This window comes from Homo sapiens, chromosome 3 (assembly GCF_000001405.40).
Source record: "Homo sapiens chromosome 3, GRCh38.p14 Primary Assembly".
Taxonomy (NCBI): Eukaryota; Metazoa; Chordata; class Mammalia; order Primates; family Hominidae; genus Homo; species Homo sapiens.
The window spans coordinates 15,151,315-15,169,115 of NC_000003.12; the positions used below are offsets into that span (position 1 = coordinate 15,151,315).

Sequence of the window (17,801 nt, forward strand, 5' to 3'; positions counted from 1 at the left end):
CTGTTTGCCCAGCATATCCCCAGGGGTGTGTCCAGAGTTATGTGCAAGCCATTGGTGGCTAACTATAACTCCCACATTCTCAGCCACATAGGGAAGCATCTGAATGACCTGTAGTAAGAATAGTCTTAGATTCTCTTCAGTTATTTTGTTAACCATTTACAAATATAGATAGCTTAGTAATAGTAACAAATTGTCTGCAATTTAGCTCATGATTAACAACTACTTTGACATCCCTGCACACTAGACACAGACCACATTTTCAGTTAGTTCAAATTCACTGATTAAAAAATAAAACAGCCATAATGAATCATTAATGCATTCCAGAAACTGTATCTTTAAAAAGCAGATCTGCCTGGCATTTATTATAATAAATGTCTATTTTATATATACATTTTTGACCTACTTTAAGTGGCATAGATGAGAAAAACTTTCATGACTTAGGTGCAATTAAATATTGCTAACATTTGATCCATTTTGCCATGTTCTTTTAAAGTAAAGAAATAACATTCAGTACTTACATATCTGCCTTCCTCACCAGGATGACCGGGTAACCCATCAAAACCCTTCTCTCCCTGAGAAGACAAGAAATCAAAATAAATAACTTGGCCTCTAAATTATTTATTTCTCAAATCTATATGAAATAAAAATTATTACTAATAGATACCCTTGTCTCACGGAGTTGTCATTTTATGGAGAATGTACTGAATATCAGGCACAATGTGCAGAGATGTACAGAAACAAATATTCTTGTCCAGTGTTACAGTGAAAACATGCATACCTGTTTGTCTTAATAGTATATCAAACTATTCTTATTTTCCAAAATACCTTCTTAAGTCATTCTCTTGTAAAAATCCAAATCAAGACTAGTTTCTAGTTAAAAGCTTAAGGAAAACTGTTACTCTTAAAGAAGCTTTCAACCTTGTTTTACAAAACATCAGTAAGCAAAGCTCTTCCTGCCTATCTTATTCATGAGAAATGGTTGTTTATTTCTGTATGACTCAACTGTCCAGTTTTGTTTTGTCCTTTTACTACTTCTTACACACCGAAACACACAAACCATTTCCTCTCAAGGAAGTTTGGCTTGCCATGTTATAGTCAGATGTGTTTATTTAGTCTAAAAGCTGGTCAGTAAGACTTGGAAGGCATATTTTATTTGTGATCAACAAAGATATAAAAGTCATTATGACCATCTACTGAATTCTTGCAAACAGAAACAGCAGAGAAGTCAAAAATTTAAAATACTCCCATCTTTGGCCTTAGAGGCACCGGCACAAGCTGCAAAGAAACGTATCAAGAAGCTCCTAAACCTGATTTTCTGATTCTCCAATCTGTTAATGAATAACAACATGACAGGGAAAAGTCTAATGCTAAGGCATGATTACAATTTATTTTTCAAACAGTAATTATAAACTTTATACTATTCTAAATTTAAAAGATTGATCTGCAAAGCCCTGAAGAGCTCATTCCAACAACCTCATGGAAAATCTTCCAAAGAGAACATGTAAAAAGATGACACAAAGCCAGCGGGTGTAATTTAACCTTACCTGTGTGTCTGTGATTATACCCTCATTATAAAGCTTCAATCCCTGTGATAATGGAACCTTGCCAGCCCTGAATATCTGAGGACCATTTCTAATGAGATACTCTCCCTTAGAAGTGTTAGGTAGTAATTTTCCTATTGGTTAACCTAGAATTAACAGAGATGCAACTCTTTTCTCAGAGTTTGATGCTGTAGAAAAGAATGTTAGATGGGAGAGAGGCATTTACTACTATAAAGAAAGCAGATGTTGGACAAGTGAAAATACGGTAGATAAGTGAAAACTTCTGTGCAGTGGCAGAATTTGTGACATTATTTGTCAAATGAGCACAAGAAGGTAGCATAATATGGTGGAAATCATGTGGGACTTAGAGTTAGGGAGACATAGGGGCTTAACTCCCAAATGCATCTTCATAATGATGCAATTTTGGGAAAGTGATGTCACCTCTCTGAGCCTCAATTTCACACATGTAAAATAACATCTACAGAAAGTGTTTGTTAGGGGGGTAAAATTAGAAAATGCTGTTAAATACATAACACAGTCTGGTATGTAGCGGGTACTGAAATATCGTCTCTCTCCTTCCCCCTATCCACACCTGACAAATTCTTACCTTCCTCCCAGAACTCCCATAATCACCTCTGTACCCATCTTCTCCAAAACACTTTGCATATATATTGCAGCATGTTCTTTCCACAATTGTATCCTGAAAAACAGATCCATATCACATACGATTTTCTCATCTGTGTTAGTCTATATCACATTACACACTAAGAAGACAAAATTCTCTCAATGTTTTTAAAATTATTATAATTAATAGAACTCAGCAAAGGATGGCATTTTTAAAAAGTACTTACAAGTTGCTTCAGTAAGACGCTTGGGAGGGATCGCAGTTTGATGCTCAGAGGTTGCTTATATGCAAACCCTCTGCCAAATTCCAGCTCCTGGAGCTCTTCTAATTTATGGACAACTTCCAGGCCAATGATTAGGAGTCCAGAGAATCCTTCACAATTTCAACAGGTGGGAGATTACTTTCATGTCTTTTGAATGGTCTTTGTCTCAGCCCCACATATTCATCCATCATTCCACCATTACCATAGCCTTCACCTGTCTTGTCTCAAACTGCATTTTGTTACAATTAAAACTAGTTTGTGGCATGCCTTCTTGAAGAATTTGTCTGATACCTTTCAATCCCACCAGCTGAAAGTTGAACAGAACCACAAAGGACTCTCATAGCTCTCTTATAGCCCCCATTTTGTCATTTCACAGACGGTTTTCAGCCCTCGTTGTATTAAATTAGATCCTTCTAAGCCTATCCCTGAAGTTGACTTTTGGTTTACACTTAGGAATTGTGGCAGTCACTGTGGCTGTTCACAGATGTTCTGGCTCCCCTTCTTAAGGGCACATGATAGGATCGCATGTCTTCAGTCAGGTTATAAACACTCATTGAGGCTCAATTCCTTACCTGTAAAGTATTATCTATCTCATGAAAGTTAGAAGTGACCATATGGCTTGCTCTAGCTAATTAAATGTGAGCAGAAGTGACATGTGTTAATCCCCAGGAGAAATTTTAAGAGTAGTGCACAATTTGCCCCATTTCCTTTCCCTTGCCACAGCAATTACAAAAACAGCTGTTGGGATAGACCCTCCTTCAGCCTGGGTTCTTGAATGGTGAGCAGGAGGCAAAGATGAATCACTTCTTGCTACTTTAAGTCACTGAGGTTTGGAGGTTGTTATTGCTGCATAATCTAGCCTATCCTACCAACGCAGGCATTAAGAGATCATCTGGATTTGTCCACAGAACAAAAATACAAATGAACAAGGGTATTTTGGTAATTCAACTAGAAATCACCTTGTTTGTCGAATTTCAAAACAAATATTACTGTTAATAGTTTGAACAGTAAATTCTTGGCACATACATGCCAATCAGCTTTTTGCTATGGTAAACAAGCTGCTTGAGAACTGTGTGGTTAAAAGTTGTGTACATATTCTTAATTATTCCTTAAAACTAAATTCTTTGAAATGGAATTTCTGATCTAGCATAGCATGTAAGCCAAGTTTAGTCTCTTGTTACATACTCTCAAATCCCCTCCAGAAAACATGCAAGAATTTAAACTTCCAGTGGCGATCTATGTAGTGAATTAAGATGGGAGTAAGGTGTCATAAAAAGATATTCTAGCACATGATTAACCAATGGAAAACATTGTCCCCAGCAAAATATGTTGAATAGACTCGACTGAAGAGGAAAAGAGGTGAAAGGAACTTGAGCAAGTCAAGTTGCTGGTTGTGCATCCTCAGGTTGCTTTTGAGCCTTTACATGGCACAAAGTGGGAATGGTGAGAGTCATAGTGTACAGTTGAACAAGTTGTGCTGCACAAGAACACCCATCTGAGAGAGCTAATGCACGGCCAAATCCAGCCAGCATACCCCTCACCACCCAGGAGCCCAATACACTTGCATCCATGCAGTGTATTGGATGTCCTTCTCTAATTGCACAAAGATGCCATATAGACTAGCAGCAGGAGCTTTTGAAGATGGAGAAGGAGGAAGAATTAAGAGCAAAGAGGGCAGAATTACAATGCAAAGAGCAGAGCCCAGCTTTAGACTGACTCCAGAGTTTAGGAGAAAACGACATATGGACCCCAGATTGGGCTAAAAGAACAAACAGCCCCTCTCACCATTTAAGTAGGAGTTGTACCTTCAACCTCCAACCCTCAAAAGCTAGTCCTGTCTGAGTCAGAAGACCCCGGTCAGTGTCAGGGACATTGTTGAAGAAGGCAGGGAGTTTCAGCCCCAAAACATCCTCTGGCTCATACAAAGAATGAGACTGGGCATCAGCCTCATGAGCACTGAGCCCCACGCACTGGGTGAACACACAGGAAGCTTCATAGAGTCCAGTGCCATCTGGAGAGCTGAGTGCCTCAGTTCCAGTGGGAGGAGGGAGGGAGGCCCACACTGGGCAACCCTATGCACTTACCTCTGCTGTGGAGAAACTCCGATGTTTTTTTCAGTCTTTTTAAATCATCATCCAGTCCATCTGTAAACACTAAAAGGACCTGTTGTTTATGAGAAAGGGGGTTGGCAGAACCAGACAGGGAGGGAGGGAGAAAAGAGAAGTAGGAAGGAGGGAGGGTGGGGAAGGAAGAGAAAAGGAAGGTGATAAGACAGTGAGAGCGGGGAGGAAAAGGGAAAGGAGGGAAGAGGAGGGAAGGGAAGGAGGAAAGGGAAGGAGGCAGGAAGAAGGGAGGGAACAGAGGGGAAGGGGAGAAGGAATGCATAAAATGGATATTATAAATTGTACATTTCCTTAAAATTCAAGAGTGAGTTTTTCTGGTTATGCCTAGCCTTTCACCCTGTTCCTTTTTACTTATTCTTTTATTACGCATTCATCTTTATTTCAACTTCCCCATCCCCCTGGGAAAAAAAAAGAGGATTTGAATCGGCTGAACTTATTTAAAAATACCTTCCAAAAATGCTTATAATATTTATCCTTATCAACAAAAAATACCAAAATATTAACAGAGAGGTGTGTGTGCATGTGTGGTGTATGCAGTGTGGGCAGGGATGGAGGGGAGGAGATGTGGGGGTGGTTGTTGCTAATTTCTGTTATACTTTGTAATGTATTTTCTACAATTGAAATGTGTTTATTTGCTCATAAGAAATTTTTAATTTAAAACAGGAATAAAAAATAAAACATGGATGATATTAGTCAAAAAATACATCCATTGGATGCATAACAACGTAAATGTAAGTTATGAAGTTTGGGGATGTCATTTCCTATTATGTGATGTGATAAACATCACTTAAAAGCTTTCCATCTCTGTGGGCTTTTGTGAGTATATAGTTCAGAGACAGCAGAAGGGAGGGAGAGGCTTGAGGGGTGAGCTGTACTAAATAGCTCTCACTAAAGACAGTTCAAGATGCTGACTGGAAAAATAGCAAGCCTACTCTAAATGGTAATGAGTGACCATAAAAAGCTAAGGAGTCTTAAAACACCTTCCAAGTTGTCTTGGAAATGAATTTATGTTATGGAAGAATATGAATCACTAAACTGTGGGCAATTTGAGAGCAGGGACTTTATTCTTATATTCCTACTAGCATTATTGAGCATAGAACATCTAGGGCTTAAAAAATATTTGTTGTTGAATGAAAACACATCTCTTGTTGGTTTTATTGTGTAACAGGATGGCTTTCCTCTGTGTAAGATCACCAATTAAGAACAATTTAGTTGGCCTCAGTCACAAAGCCTTATCCATTCTACCCTACCTGATGGCTCCATAGCAAGGGTTCTCAGCATTTATTACCTTTACATTAGCAGAAGAGAGATGAATAGCATTATCTCCCAAGGACTGCAAAAAGTTCACATCCATATTGTTATTCCTGGCAGCCTGATGAACCAAGAACTTCTGGATGATCTCATAACTGTATTTTTCAAAGCCTGAGTCAAAGGTAAGCTGGCCATTTGAGCCAGGCACCAAGTAGCGGAATCTTGGGTCGATCTGATCAGAAATGCCACGGCTGATGTTAGAAAGTAAAGCCAACTGTTGCATCAGCTCTGGCAGTAACCCTTGAAGCTTCTGCTGAATTTTCTTTGAAGGAGTTGAGATATCAATTCCTACAGACAAATCCAGGTTGCATCCTTTGAAGGTGAAGAAAATAAAATTAGTCATCTGCAGGTGCATAACTAAGCCCAGAAGATATCAGCCAATCCAGCCCTAAAAGACAAACCCCCAGCCAACCCACAGAAGCATAAGCTAAATAGTGGTAGTTTAAGTTTTGGGATTGTTTGTTACACAGCAAAAGCTAATTGATACAATACATCCTGTTTCATAGCTTTATGCCTCTGCAGATCCTACTCCCTTTGCCTAAAGTGTCTTTTCCCATCTTCCCACCCCAGTCTGGTCCTTCAAGTAGTAGTTCAAGTGCCTGCCCCACCCCACCCCACTCACCAAGCACTCTCTGGTTTTTGTCCTCACCTCCTCATGTTAAGTTATTAAATGCCCGTGCATGCTCATTGTTACTTTATTTGACCTTCTTCCTGACTAAACAAGGATTCCTTGATGGTAATGACTATGCCGTCTAATTTTCCAATTGCCTAATACAGATGTTCATTAAATGTTTGACAAATCAATGAAGAAAAGGATATAAATGAGCCTTAAGTCTCTTTCAACAATAACTGGAATTATTTCCTTCTTCCCTGATAGTGTTTTTCCTCATTCACCACCCATGCCTATACCTTGTTTCAGCAGCATGGGAGCATATTAGAAAATGTCAGGAAAAAATCACTCCCAATTATCTGTTTCTTATATCTAAAAATAGTTAAGCCCTCTTGGGTAGCTTTTCTCTGGAATTTGAAGGCCAATTAATATTTCAGGCTATACCTATACACTTACCAGTATATAATAAAATTTTGCACAAAATTCCACTAAGGATCAAAAGTTGATGGTCAGAGACACATCTGAGTTGGAATCTGGTTGGATGAATTAAAATGTAACAACCTTAAAAGGGCACCTATTAATTACTTCTGCACAACAAGCATAACTTAGGACTGTCCAAGGCAATCCAGGACATGCCAACATTTTCTCCTTAGATCATCACACACTAGAGTATATGATGATGTAAGGATCTGTGTCTATAACAGAATCTATATACCTGTATCAGAATCTGCAAGAACAGAACTGCAAATGGGGAGGAACAATTTGAGGGAAAATAAATATGTAGTAGACCATTCACCATGGACAGTAGCTTAAAGTTTCCCAAAAACCTGAGATCAGAGCTGAGCCATGAGCATTCAGTCCCCTAAATGTCATACTCCATGCTAGCTGGTAAGATATATTTCTGGAACTGCCAAGACAGAAAATGCCTTCATCTCCTCCTTTCACATAAAATATCTTAGTTTGGTTTGGTTTTTTAAATATGTAATTCAAATTTATAAAAATGAGCCTTCACAGATGTAAATCCCATTTCTATATTGGACCTAATTTCAGAAAAAAAGGAATTTCCTTTTTGTAGTATGGCATATTATTCCAACATTTCTAATTCACATTTTCACCAGGAACATTTCCAGCTGGCTCTGTTCTATAATTGACAAATGCAAGAAGCAATTTCTTTCCCTTTTAATGGAGAGGATTAAATCTTGCCAGGTAATCTCTAAGGTCTTTTTCAGGTTTATGATTCTAGAATTCTATAATTAATTAGAGTCTAGCCCTTATTAAAGTGTCTAGCTAATTTCATCAAAAAATTTAAAGACAAAGTTGAAGATAAACATAAATCCTAACTTACTATAAGGGGCAAAATAAACTGAAAAAAGAAGCTGAATCCTATATCTCCTCTTCTCCCCAGTGTAATACCTACCTGCGTATAAACAAAAAATAGGACTTTGGTGACTAAAAAACTCTGAACTACTTAATGTAGGACATGCCATAATTCATGCTTCTTTTAAAAATAATTGTACATGTGCATTCTTTTCAGATGATTTTCAAATTTGGCTAGACTACTGCAAAGTAGTTATATTTTTTTGTCAATATAAGCAAAGATATTAATTTAATGTCCTAGAAAATTGGACTTCAAAGTTTTGGTGGAATGCAGGGTTCTCATCCTAGTCCTCCAAAATTAAGTCTCTGTTTCCAAAATAAGACCTAGCCCAGGCCAGTCACAGTGGCTCAAACCTGTTATCCCAACACTTTGAGAGGACAAAGAGGAAGGATTGTTTGAGTCTAGGAGTTCAAGACCAGCCTGGATAACACTGGGAGACTCTGTGTCTACATAAACTTAAAAAAAAAAAAAAAACGAGCCGATGTCCACTCGCCTGTGGTCCCAGCTAGAGGTGAAAGGATCGCTTGAGCCTGGGAGTTTGAGGCTGCAGTGAGCTGTGATCATACCACTGCACTCCAGCCTGGGTGACAGAGTGAAATCCTGTCTAAAAATTTAAAAACAAAACAAAACAAACAAACAAAAATCTTGACCCAAGTATGGCCCTAGTTTCTCATAGAGAGGCTTCATAGGCATACATAATGCTTAGTGGTTGGACTTTTGACACCAAACTGCTGGGGAATTCAAACTCAGCCTCTATTACTTCCTGTCTATGTTTCTTAACCTCTCCCTTCTTGTTTTTTTTTTTTCAGTCTGGAAATTGAGTATCATAATGATAGCACGTGCTTCACATGGGTTTGATGTGAATGTTAGATGAATGTATACCATCTAACACATTAGAAATAGTGCTTTGCATTCAACCTTGAGTTTTAAAAAAAAGGAAAAAAATAGTGCTACATACATAATGGAAAAAAACAAGTAAGAATCTAGACTGTGCCCCACCTGGAGCCTGCCCTGCCTTTAGAATGCCAGTTAGATGGAATAAAATGTGTCCTTCTTACTTGAGTTTTCTATTACTTGTAGGCAAAAACATCCTACCTGATAAGAGGATTTTTCTTAATACTGCTTGTTATCTCAGACTTGTTGTGAGAAATCAAGTAAAATAAAGGATGAGAAAGTGCTCTATAAATGTCAAGAGCCCATATTCTGCCTCCCAGCAGAAGGCTGAAGGTGGCAGGACCTCATCAAGAGGCACACAGTTAAGTAAGAACATAGAGGTGAGTAGCCTCTTCTTTTCAGCCTAAAACTACAAAAAAAAAAAAAAAAACCTTCTAGATCCAATTAAATGCACATCTATTTAGGGACATAATAACAAAATGATTTCCTGTATTCACATGATCACTTGAAGGAATTTTGAGTTTTATGGGTTCCATTATATATCCTTTGACATAATTCCTTGCTATGCTCGAAGTTATACCATTCTATCACATTCTGTGCTATCCTGTACTATACCATACCATACATATTGTATTTCACTATACTATGCTTTATTGTGCTTCATTGTACTGTACTATACTATACCACACTACACTATCCTATCCTATCCTACCCTACCCTACCCTACCCTACCCTACCCTACCCTATCCTATCCTATCCTATCCTTTCCTATCCTATCCTACTACTCAATGTATGATGAGGCCTGCAAAATCTGCGTCACCTGGGAGCTTGTTAGAAATCCAGAATGCCGATCTGCTGAATTCAGAATCTGCATTTTAACAAGATCCCTAGATGATTCAAATGTATGCTTAAGTTTGGGAGCCCTTCAATCACCCACTGAAAGGCAAGTCTTGGGGAAGAAAAGCGGACCCCAACTGTCAAAAGGAACAACCCCTGTCTTTGCGCCTTGCAGCTTTGGATAAAAACTTGAGGAGACGGAATGGGATTAAGGATGACCTTGGCCATATGGAAGAAGATTGGCAACAAAGTAGGCAGACCCCTGTACAGAGCCTCATGGAGAAGACACTGTATTCTATTTCATAAGAGAGACTGTCTAACTGACATTATTCTCTGCTTCTATTTCCCTCTTGACATGGCCAAACCTTCAGCACGTTGTGTTTACACATTCCAATCTGGTTTTGCCTATGCTATAAGGAATTAAAGGAGGAGTTGTGAGGACTTCCTAGAGACAGAGTTCTAAGAAGCTTCAGGCCTTCAGAAACCAAAGTGATGACAACCATGGGAATGATTAAAAGAATCCCCAGGGGAGGGTGAACAACAGTGTCAGGAGTTCAGGCCCTACAGGGTGATCTCCTGCTCCCCTTCTTGCCTAGTTAGAAGGATCAGAGTTTTACTTTATTAAGAGAACCAACAGGATCTCTAACACCTATGATGAGCTTGTGGATCAAATAACAATTCTCTGTCACTCACCTTGTGGATCACAGACCTTAGAAAGAATTTCCTTCTCCAGGTTCTGCAGGGCCTCAAAATTTACATCATGGTACACTTTGTCCTCATCATTAGTTATCTCCAAAAGCTGCGATTTTTTGGCTTCTCCCACCCCAATGGCAAAAATAATTGTGTTTTTGTCCCTGAGGGCTTTGGCTGGTATGATTACATTATCTTGGGCCACCCCATCGGTGATCACAATCAAATATTGTTGAACACTGGGTCTCCCTCCTTTTGAACTGTCAAAAAAAGGCAGAGTGAAATTCAGAGCTTTCCCAGTGCGGGTGCCATCCCTCATCTGCTGAACATCAAAGATGGCCCTGTAAATGTCCACCTTTGAGGATTATTGGTTGAGCCTGAATTCTTCCTGGGGGATTGAGCTGAACTGCAAAAGGCCAATTTGTTTTTTTTTTGTTTTTTTTTTTTTTAATTTTTATTTTTTTTATTGATCATTCTTGGGTGTTTCTCGCAGAGGGGGATTTGGCAGGGTCATAGGACAATAGTGGAGGGAAGGTCGGCAGATAAACAAGTGAACAAAAGTCTCTGGTTTTCCTAGGCAGAGGACCCTGCGGCCTTCCGCAGTGTTTGTGTCCCTGGGTACTTGAGATTAGGGAGTGGTGATGACTCTTAACGAGCATGCTGCCTTCAAGCATCTGTTTAACAAAGCACAACTTGCACCGCCCTTAATCCATTTAACCCTGAGTGGACACAGCACATGTTTCAGAGAGCACAGGGTTGGGGGTAAGGTCACCGATCAACAGGATCCCAAGGCAGAAGAATTTATCTTAGTACAGAACAAAATGAAAAGTCTCCCATGTCTACCTCTTTCTACACAGACACGGCAACCATCCGATTTCTCAATCTTTTCCCCAACTTTCCCCCCTTTCTATTCCACAAAACCGCCATTGTCATCATGGCCCATTCTCAATGAGCTGTTGGGTACACCTCCCAGACGGGGTGGTGGCCGGGCAGAGGGGCTCCTCACTTCCCAGTAGGGGCGGCCGGGCAGAGGCGCCCCTCACCTCCCGGACGGGGCGGCTGGCCGGGCAGGGGGCTGACCCCCCCACCTCCCTCCCGGACAGGGCGACTGGCCAGGCGGGGGGCTGACCCCCCCACCTCCCTCCCGGACGGGGCGGCTGGCCGGGCGGGGGGCTGACCCCCCCACCTCCCTGCCCGGGCGGGGGGCTGACCCCCCACCTCCCTCCCAGATGGGGCGGCTGGCCGGGCGGGGGGCTGACCCCCCCACCTCCCTCCTGGACGGGGCGGCTGGCCGGGCAGAGGGGCTCCTCACTTCCCAGTAGGGGCGGCCGGGCAGAGGCGCCCCTCACCTCCCGGACGGGGTGGCTGGCCGGGTGGGGGGCTGACCCCCCCACCTCTCTCCAGGACGGGGCGGCTGGCCGGGCGGGGGGCTGACCCCCCCACCTCCCTCCCGGACGGGGCGGCTGGCCGGGCGGGGTGCTGACCCCCCAACCTCTCTCCAGGACGGGGCGGCTGGCCGGGCGGCGGGCTGAGCCCCCCACCTCCCTCCTGGACGGGGTGGCTGGCCCGGCAGAGGGGCTCCTCACTTCCCAGTAGGGGCGGCTGGGCAGAGGCGCCCCTCACCTCCGGACGGGGCGGCTGGCCGTAGTGGGGCTGACCCCCCCACCTCCCTCCCGGACGGGGCGGCTGCCGGGCGGAGACGCTCCTCACTTCCCAGACGGGGTGGCTGCCGGGCAGAGGGGCTCCTCACTTCTCAGACGGGGTGGTTGCTGGGTGGAGGGGCTCCTCACTTCTCAGACGGGGCGGTTGCTGGGCGGAGGGTCTCCTCACTTCTCAGACGGGGCGGCTGGGCAGAGACGCTCCTCACCTCCCAGACGGGGTCGCAGCCGGGCAGAGGCGCTCCTCACATCCCAGACGGGGCGGCGGGGCAGAGGCGCTCCCCACATCTCAGACGATGGGCGGCCGGGCAGAGACGCTCCTCACTTCCCAGATGGGATGGCTGCCGGGAAGAGGCGCTCCTCACTTCCTAGATGGGATGGCGGCCGGGCAGAGACGCTCCTCACTTTCCAGACTGGGCAGCCAGGCAGAGGGGCTCCTCACGTCCCAGACGATGGGCGGCCAGGCAGAGACGCTCCTCACTTCCTAGACGGGGTGGCGGCCGGGCAGAGGCTGCAATCTCGGCACTTCGGGAGGCCAAGGCAGGCGGCTGGGAGATGGAGGTTGTAGCGAGCTGAGATCACACCATTGCACTCCAGCCTGGGCACCATTGAGCACTGAGTGAACCAGACTCTGTCTGCAATCCCGGCACCTCGGGAGGCCGAGGCTGGCGGATCACTAGCGGTTAGGAGCTGGAGACCAGCCCTGCCAACACAGCGAAACCCCGTCTCCACCAAAAAAGTACGAAAACCAGTCAGGCGTGGTGGCGTGCGCCTGCAACCGCAGGCACTCGGCAGGCTGAGGCAGGAGAATCAGGCAGGGAGGTTGCAGTGAGCCGAGATGGCAGCAGTACAGTCCAGCTTCGGCTCGGCATCAGAGGGAGACCGTGGAAAGAGAGGGAGAGGGAGACCGAGAGGGAGAGGGGAGAGGGGAGAAGGGAGAGGGAAGAGGGAAGAGGGGAGAGGGGAGAGGGGAGAGGGGAGAGGGGAGAGGGAGAGGGAGAGGCAGGGCTGGTCTTAAAGGGAGAAGAGCATGCTCCCAAAAGGCCAATTTGAATTCCATCAGTACCAATATTAGATTGGTTCACCATGCTCTCCACAAATCTTTTCATCTTTTCAAAGTCTTTTGGGGAGATAGATTCTGAACCATCTATCAGGAAGATAATGTCAGCTTTACTATTCTTACAGGCTGGGGAAAAAGGAAACAGAACAGAACATTCATTAGAAATCTGAAACCAAAAAAAAACAAAAAACAAAAAAAGAATCTGAAGCCAATTAATTACAAGTCCCCAGGGACAGTCTGGAATGGCATATATACAACATGAAAATATTTTAGAAGGGAGTGGAAGAGGAATTCAATGAAACAAATATTCTGCAACCCAGCAGAGTTGCTCTGCAATTCAGAGTAGTCTCAAAATAAGATACAGCTGTATGATAAATATATAAAACTTGACCATCTTGCTTCATTCTAGGTTGTGGTCACTTTGAGTGTCCGATACTAAGCTGCCAACCAGTGAATCCATGATTAAAGAATGAAGCTGGCTAGGTGTGGTGGCCCACACCTATAATCCTAGCACTTTGGGAGGCTGAGGCAGAAGGATTGCTTGAGCCCAGGAGTTCAAGACCAGCCTGGACAACACAGCAAGATCCAGTCTTGGGGAAAAAATGCGTAAAAGAATGAAGCTTACTTAAATAAATCAGGTACATATTCTTGGAGAGGTGGGAAAGGAGATTGAAAAAGAAAAAGTCTTACCCTCTGAGGAGCAGATGTCCTGTACCACTTCTTTTTGGATGTCCTTCAGTAAATCAAACTCATACACAAAAAATATCTTGTCTTTAGCTATTTCCTTAAGCTCATCAATGTTAGCTTCTCTTATTCCAATGGCATAAATGTTAACTCCATTTGCCCTCAATCCCTCTGCAGCCTCAGCCACCGAGTCTGAAGATTTACCATCAGTGATGACTATAACATATCGAGCAACATTGATTCGGCCGGTGTCTGCAAAAACCTGAGTCATGTTGTTCAAGGCCTCACCGGTTTTGGTGCCACCTCCCCCCTGCTGGATGTTATCAATGGCTACCTTCAGCTCTGTCACACTGGGATACTGGCTGAGGATAAATTTACTTTTAATTTTGTCTGAGTACTGAATGATTCCAAACTGTACTCTGTTGGGCCCGATCTGGAACATCTTTATCACTTCATTCATGAACACCTTCATCTCAAGAAAATCTTCTGGATAGATGCTGCCAGACCCATCAATAAGGAAGTAAATATCTGCCTTTTCGATGTGCACACAACCTAGGCAATAAAAAGAAGCAAGAACCCATCATAACAGAGTCTGAGATGGTGAAGAACCAGAGCGATTGATCCCAATCTCCAACCGTATTCTCTCAGTACTCTTTGTTCCCTTGACAGCACCTGTGACTCTGCCTACAGGCACTCTTTGGCCAAGAGCATGATCAGCTGGCACACTAGGAAGACCAGAATGCCTGGGAGTGAGTCCAGAAGCAGCCACCACCCAATAACTGGCAGAGGTTGGTGGATAAAGACCCCAGCTCCCTTGTTCATTGCATAGAACCACTCTAAGGTAAGTCCTGCATGGTTTCCCTGAGTCCCCAGTTGCCTGTAGCAGTAACCTGTAGATTACTCCTCATCCCGAATTGGTTCTTAAATCTCCACTCTCCTATAAGCATCCCCTGGCATCACCACCCAGATAAATAATTTGCATCCAAATCATTGTCTCAGAGTCTGTTTCTGATCAACCCCACTTAAGACACGAAGGAAATGTAACTTGACATTTCTCAAATGGGGAAGTTAAGGAAATGAAAGTAAAATCAGAGCACATTTGAAGCTATGAATTGTTTCATATTCCATTATCCCTGCCTCCCATCCAAGTTGTGCTTTTTAAGTACATGGGCAAAAGTGTGTACATCCTAAAATTTAATTTAATTTAATAATTTGACAAGTTAATTTAAAACATTCTCTATTAAATGAGCCTGAATTAGGAAACAACAGATGCTAGTGAGGCTGTGGAGAAATAGGAACGCTTTTATACTGTTGGTGGGAATGTAAATAAGTTCAATAACTGTGGAAGACGGTATGGCAATTCCTCAAGGATCTAGAACCAGAAATGCCATTTGACCCAGCAATCCCATTACTGAGTATATACCCAAAGGAATGTAAATTATTCTACTATAAAGACACATGCACATATCTGTTTATTGCCATATTATTTACAATAGCAATGACATGGAACCAACCAAAATGCCCATCAATGATAGACTGGATAAAGAAAATGTGGTACATATATACCGTGGAATACTATGCAGCCATAAAAAGGAATGAGATAATGTCCTTTGCAGGGACATGGATGAAGCTGGAAGCCATCATTCTCAGCAAACTAACACAGTAGCAGAAAACCAAACACCGCATGTTCTCATTCATAAGTGGGAGTTGAACATTGAGAATAGATGGACACTGAGAGGGAAACAGCACACACCAGGGCCTGTCGGGGGGTGGTGGGTTGAGGGGAGGGAACTTAGAGGACAAGTCAATAGGTGCAGCAAACCACCATGGCACACGTATACCTACGTAACAAACCTGCACGTTCTGCACATGTATCCCATTTTTTTTTAGAAGAAATTGTTTTAAAAAAGAGTCTGAATTAAATCAGTCACCTTGTGTTAAAGCCCAGCCTCCAGGGCAAGTGGCTCTAAATTTAATCCTGTCTCCTCGGTTACTAGCAAGCTTGGCCCCCTTGCATCTCAGTTTCCTGATCTATAAAATGAGGATGTTGACACCTACTCAGTAAGCTTATTGTGAGAAGACAGTAATATCATGTAAACAGAGCAGAGCTCAGTATTAAAGATGTAGAGTTAAAAGTAGCTGGTGTTTTATTATTTTTGTCATCTAGCAGATTCCTCTAAAAAATATATGTATATATTTTCTCCACTCCCTCTCAATAAGGGCAGCCCAGCCTTGAGTTGTTAATCTCTGGATTCCCTTGGCCCCAGGAAGAGCCTTTTCATTTCTCGGCTGAAAGGGAAGTTGTCTAAGGTGGGAATTGGGCTCCCTGCTCAGGTCTTCATGTGGGAGGACCTAGGTCCATGCAATATGTGTGGCATACTTAAAAAACCCTTGTTGTTTATATGAATGAAATTCAAATGTAATTGGGTGTCCTATATTTCATCTGGCAATGCTATCCTAAAGGGGCATTCATTGGAAAGGAATGTAGCTTAAAGCGGGTAGAGAAAGGAGTCATTTACCCCATGGTAAGTGTTTGCTGAATTCTGGAGAGTAGGGGCGAAATTATGGAAAAATAAGGCAAAAACCCAAACTTTGCTGGACTCCAGCATCCACTGGTGACACATACATGGCTACCCAGCGTCAGAGAAAAGGACCACCGTGCAGGAAAGGGCATCTCTGCAGCTAGCCCCTATAGGAGCAGCCCAAGGAGGCTTCACTATAATCCAGGGCCCTTGGATTGTCAAGAGGAGCCGAGGACCCTAAATATTGCCTGCACTGTACATTCTTGTCAGTCTTAGCAGATTGGGGGAAAAGAGAAAGAGAATATTTCTTACAGTCTGGAGGTTGCCGAGCATTCACATCAATCATACACATAAAGTGCTTAGCAGAGTATCTGACACATGGCAAATGGCCAGTAAATAGTAGATATTATGATCATTGTGATCATCCAAGACAAAATTCTGGTAAAATCATCATAGCTTCTATTTACCTCTAGGCTACTCCCTTCCCCAACCCATCTAGACTTTGGGCTACTTTTTCTGATTGCAAGTTTCTTTTTAGCTTCTCTGCAGTATCAAAAAACAACAACAACAACAACTCTCAGCTCTTCATATTGTGAACTAGTAGTGCTCGTCTTCTGTCCTTCTCATCCACAGAATATAGGCAGATAGGCACACGGAAATGAAATTCACATTATAACAATTTTGTATCTCATTCCTAGAACTGAGAAAGGAACTAAAAATATAGGTCAAAGAGAAAGATAGAAATTTATTTAGATATTTCAGATTTCTAGACCTCAGCACAAGTAATCAAGAAATTACCAGATCACTCAGTGTTTAACAAGAAAAAAAGCTCAGTGATTTTCCCTTGAAAACATAATTACAGCCTTGAATTTTTACCTCAATTATGTACATTTCAACGATTCTAATTTAAATCTATGATTCTAATTTGAATCTAAGAAATACTAGCATGGGTAGACAAAAATAGATTAGAAGACAGACAGACACAAAGATTTTCATAACAGCCAGTAAGTGCCAAATCTAGGATTTAAAATTTGGGCATTCATATGCCAAAGTGCACACACTTAACCACTATGTTTTTTCTGGTGTGTGTGTTTTTTTGTTTAACTGGGTATGTAGTAGGAACTCTCCTGACCAACCTCCACTTTAGTGACTCCCAGATAAATCAATGTTCTCCCTTCCCTCTGTAAAGCATGAGTGATGCTCCCATAAAACAATGAGTGCCTGAAGTTCCGCTTCAACCAGTGAAAGAACAAGCTTACCAAGATGAAGGCGGGTTTGTCCCCAGCTTGTTTATGGCAGTTTTGTTGTTATAATTACATAATTAATCAAATATTGTGCAAATCAGCAGGATTTGAGTGTGAGTAAAAGAGATTTATTGCATCTATGAAAACCAGCTTAACTGCTTTAAAGACTCAATAAAAGAGTTATTTTTTAAAAAATTGCCAGTGTACTAGATAGCATTACAAAAGATTGCATTTTTAAGATTATAAAAATCAATAGCTATTTCTGTTTCTGTTTTGAATTGTTTCAAAAGTCACTCTCCTTTAAAGAAACTGAAACTGGAAATTATTGATAACATAACATTGGATGGTTTATAAAGAAAATA

General features: G+C 42.4%; 1 pseudogene across 1 annotated transcript in view, besides 2 other annotated features; it reads right to left on the reverse strand.

The window, feature by feature from the left end:
• Nucleotides 3,774–3,974: a silencer, noted in NCBI's record as "peak4546 fragment used in MPRA reporter construct". NCBI's record gives its function as "represses an SCP1 promoter by STARR-seq MPRAs in K562 erythroleukemia cells {active_cell/tissue: K562}" and the evidence as "EXISTENCE:reporter gene assay evidence [ECO:0000049][PMID:32103011]".
• Nucleotides 5,756–6,955: an enhancer, noted in NCBI's record as "BRD4-independent group 4 enhancer chr3:15198577-15199776 (GRCh37/hg19 assembly coordinates)". NCBI's record gives its function as "activates an origin of replication core promoter dependent on BRD2, P300/CBP, MED14 and CDK7 cofactors, and independent of BRD4, by STARR-seq in HCT116 cells {active_cell/tissue: HCT116}" and the evidence as "EXISTENCE:reporter gene assay evidence [ECO:0000049][PMID:35650434]".
• Nucleotides 14,048–17,801, reverse strand: part of COL6A4P1 (collagen type VI alpha 4 pseudogene 1) — a 40,598-nt pseudogene continuing 36,844 nt past the window's right edge. The window contains exon 5 of the transcript NR_027927.1: nucleotides 14,048–14,225. The product of NR_027927.1 is annotated as a collagen type VI alpha 4 pseudogene 1 (transcript). The remainder of the gene's footprint in view (nucleotides 14,226–17,801) is intronic.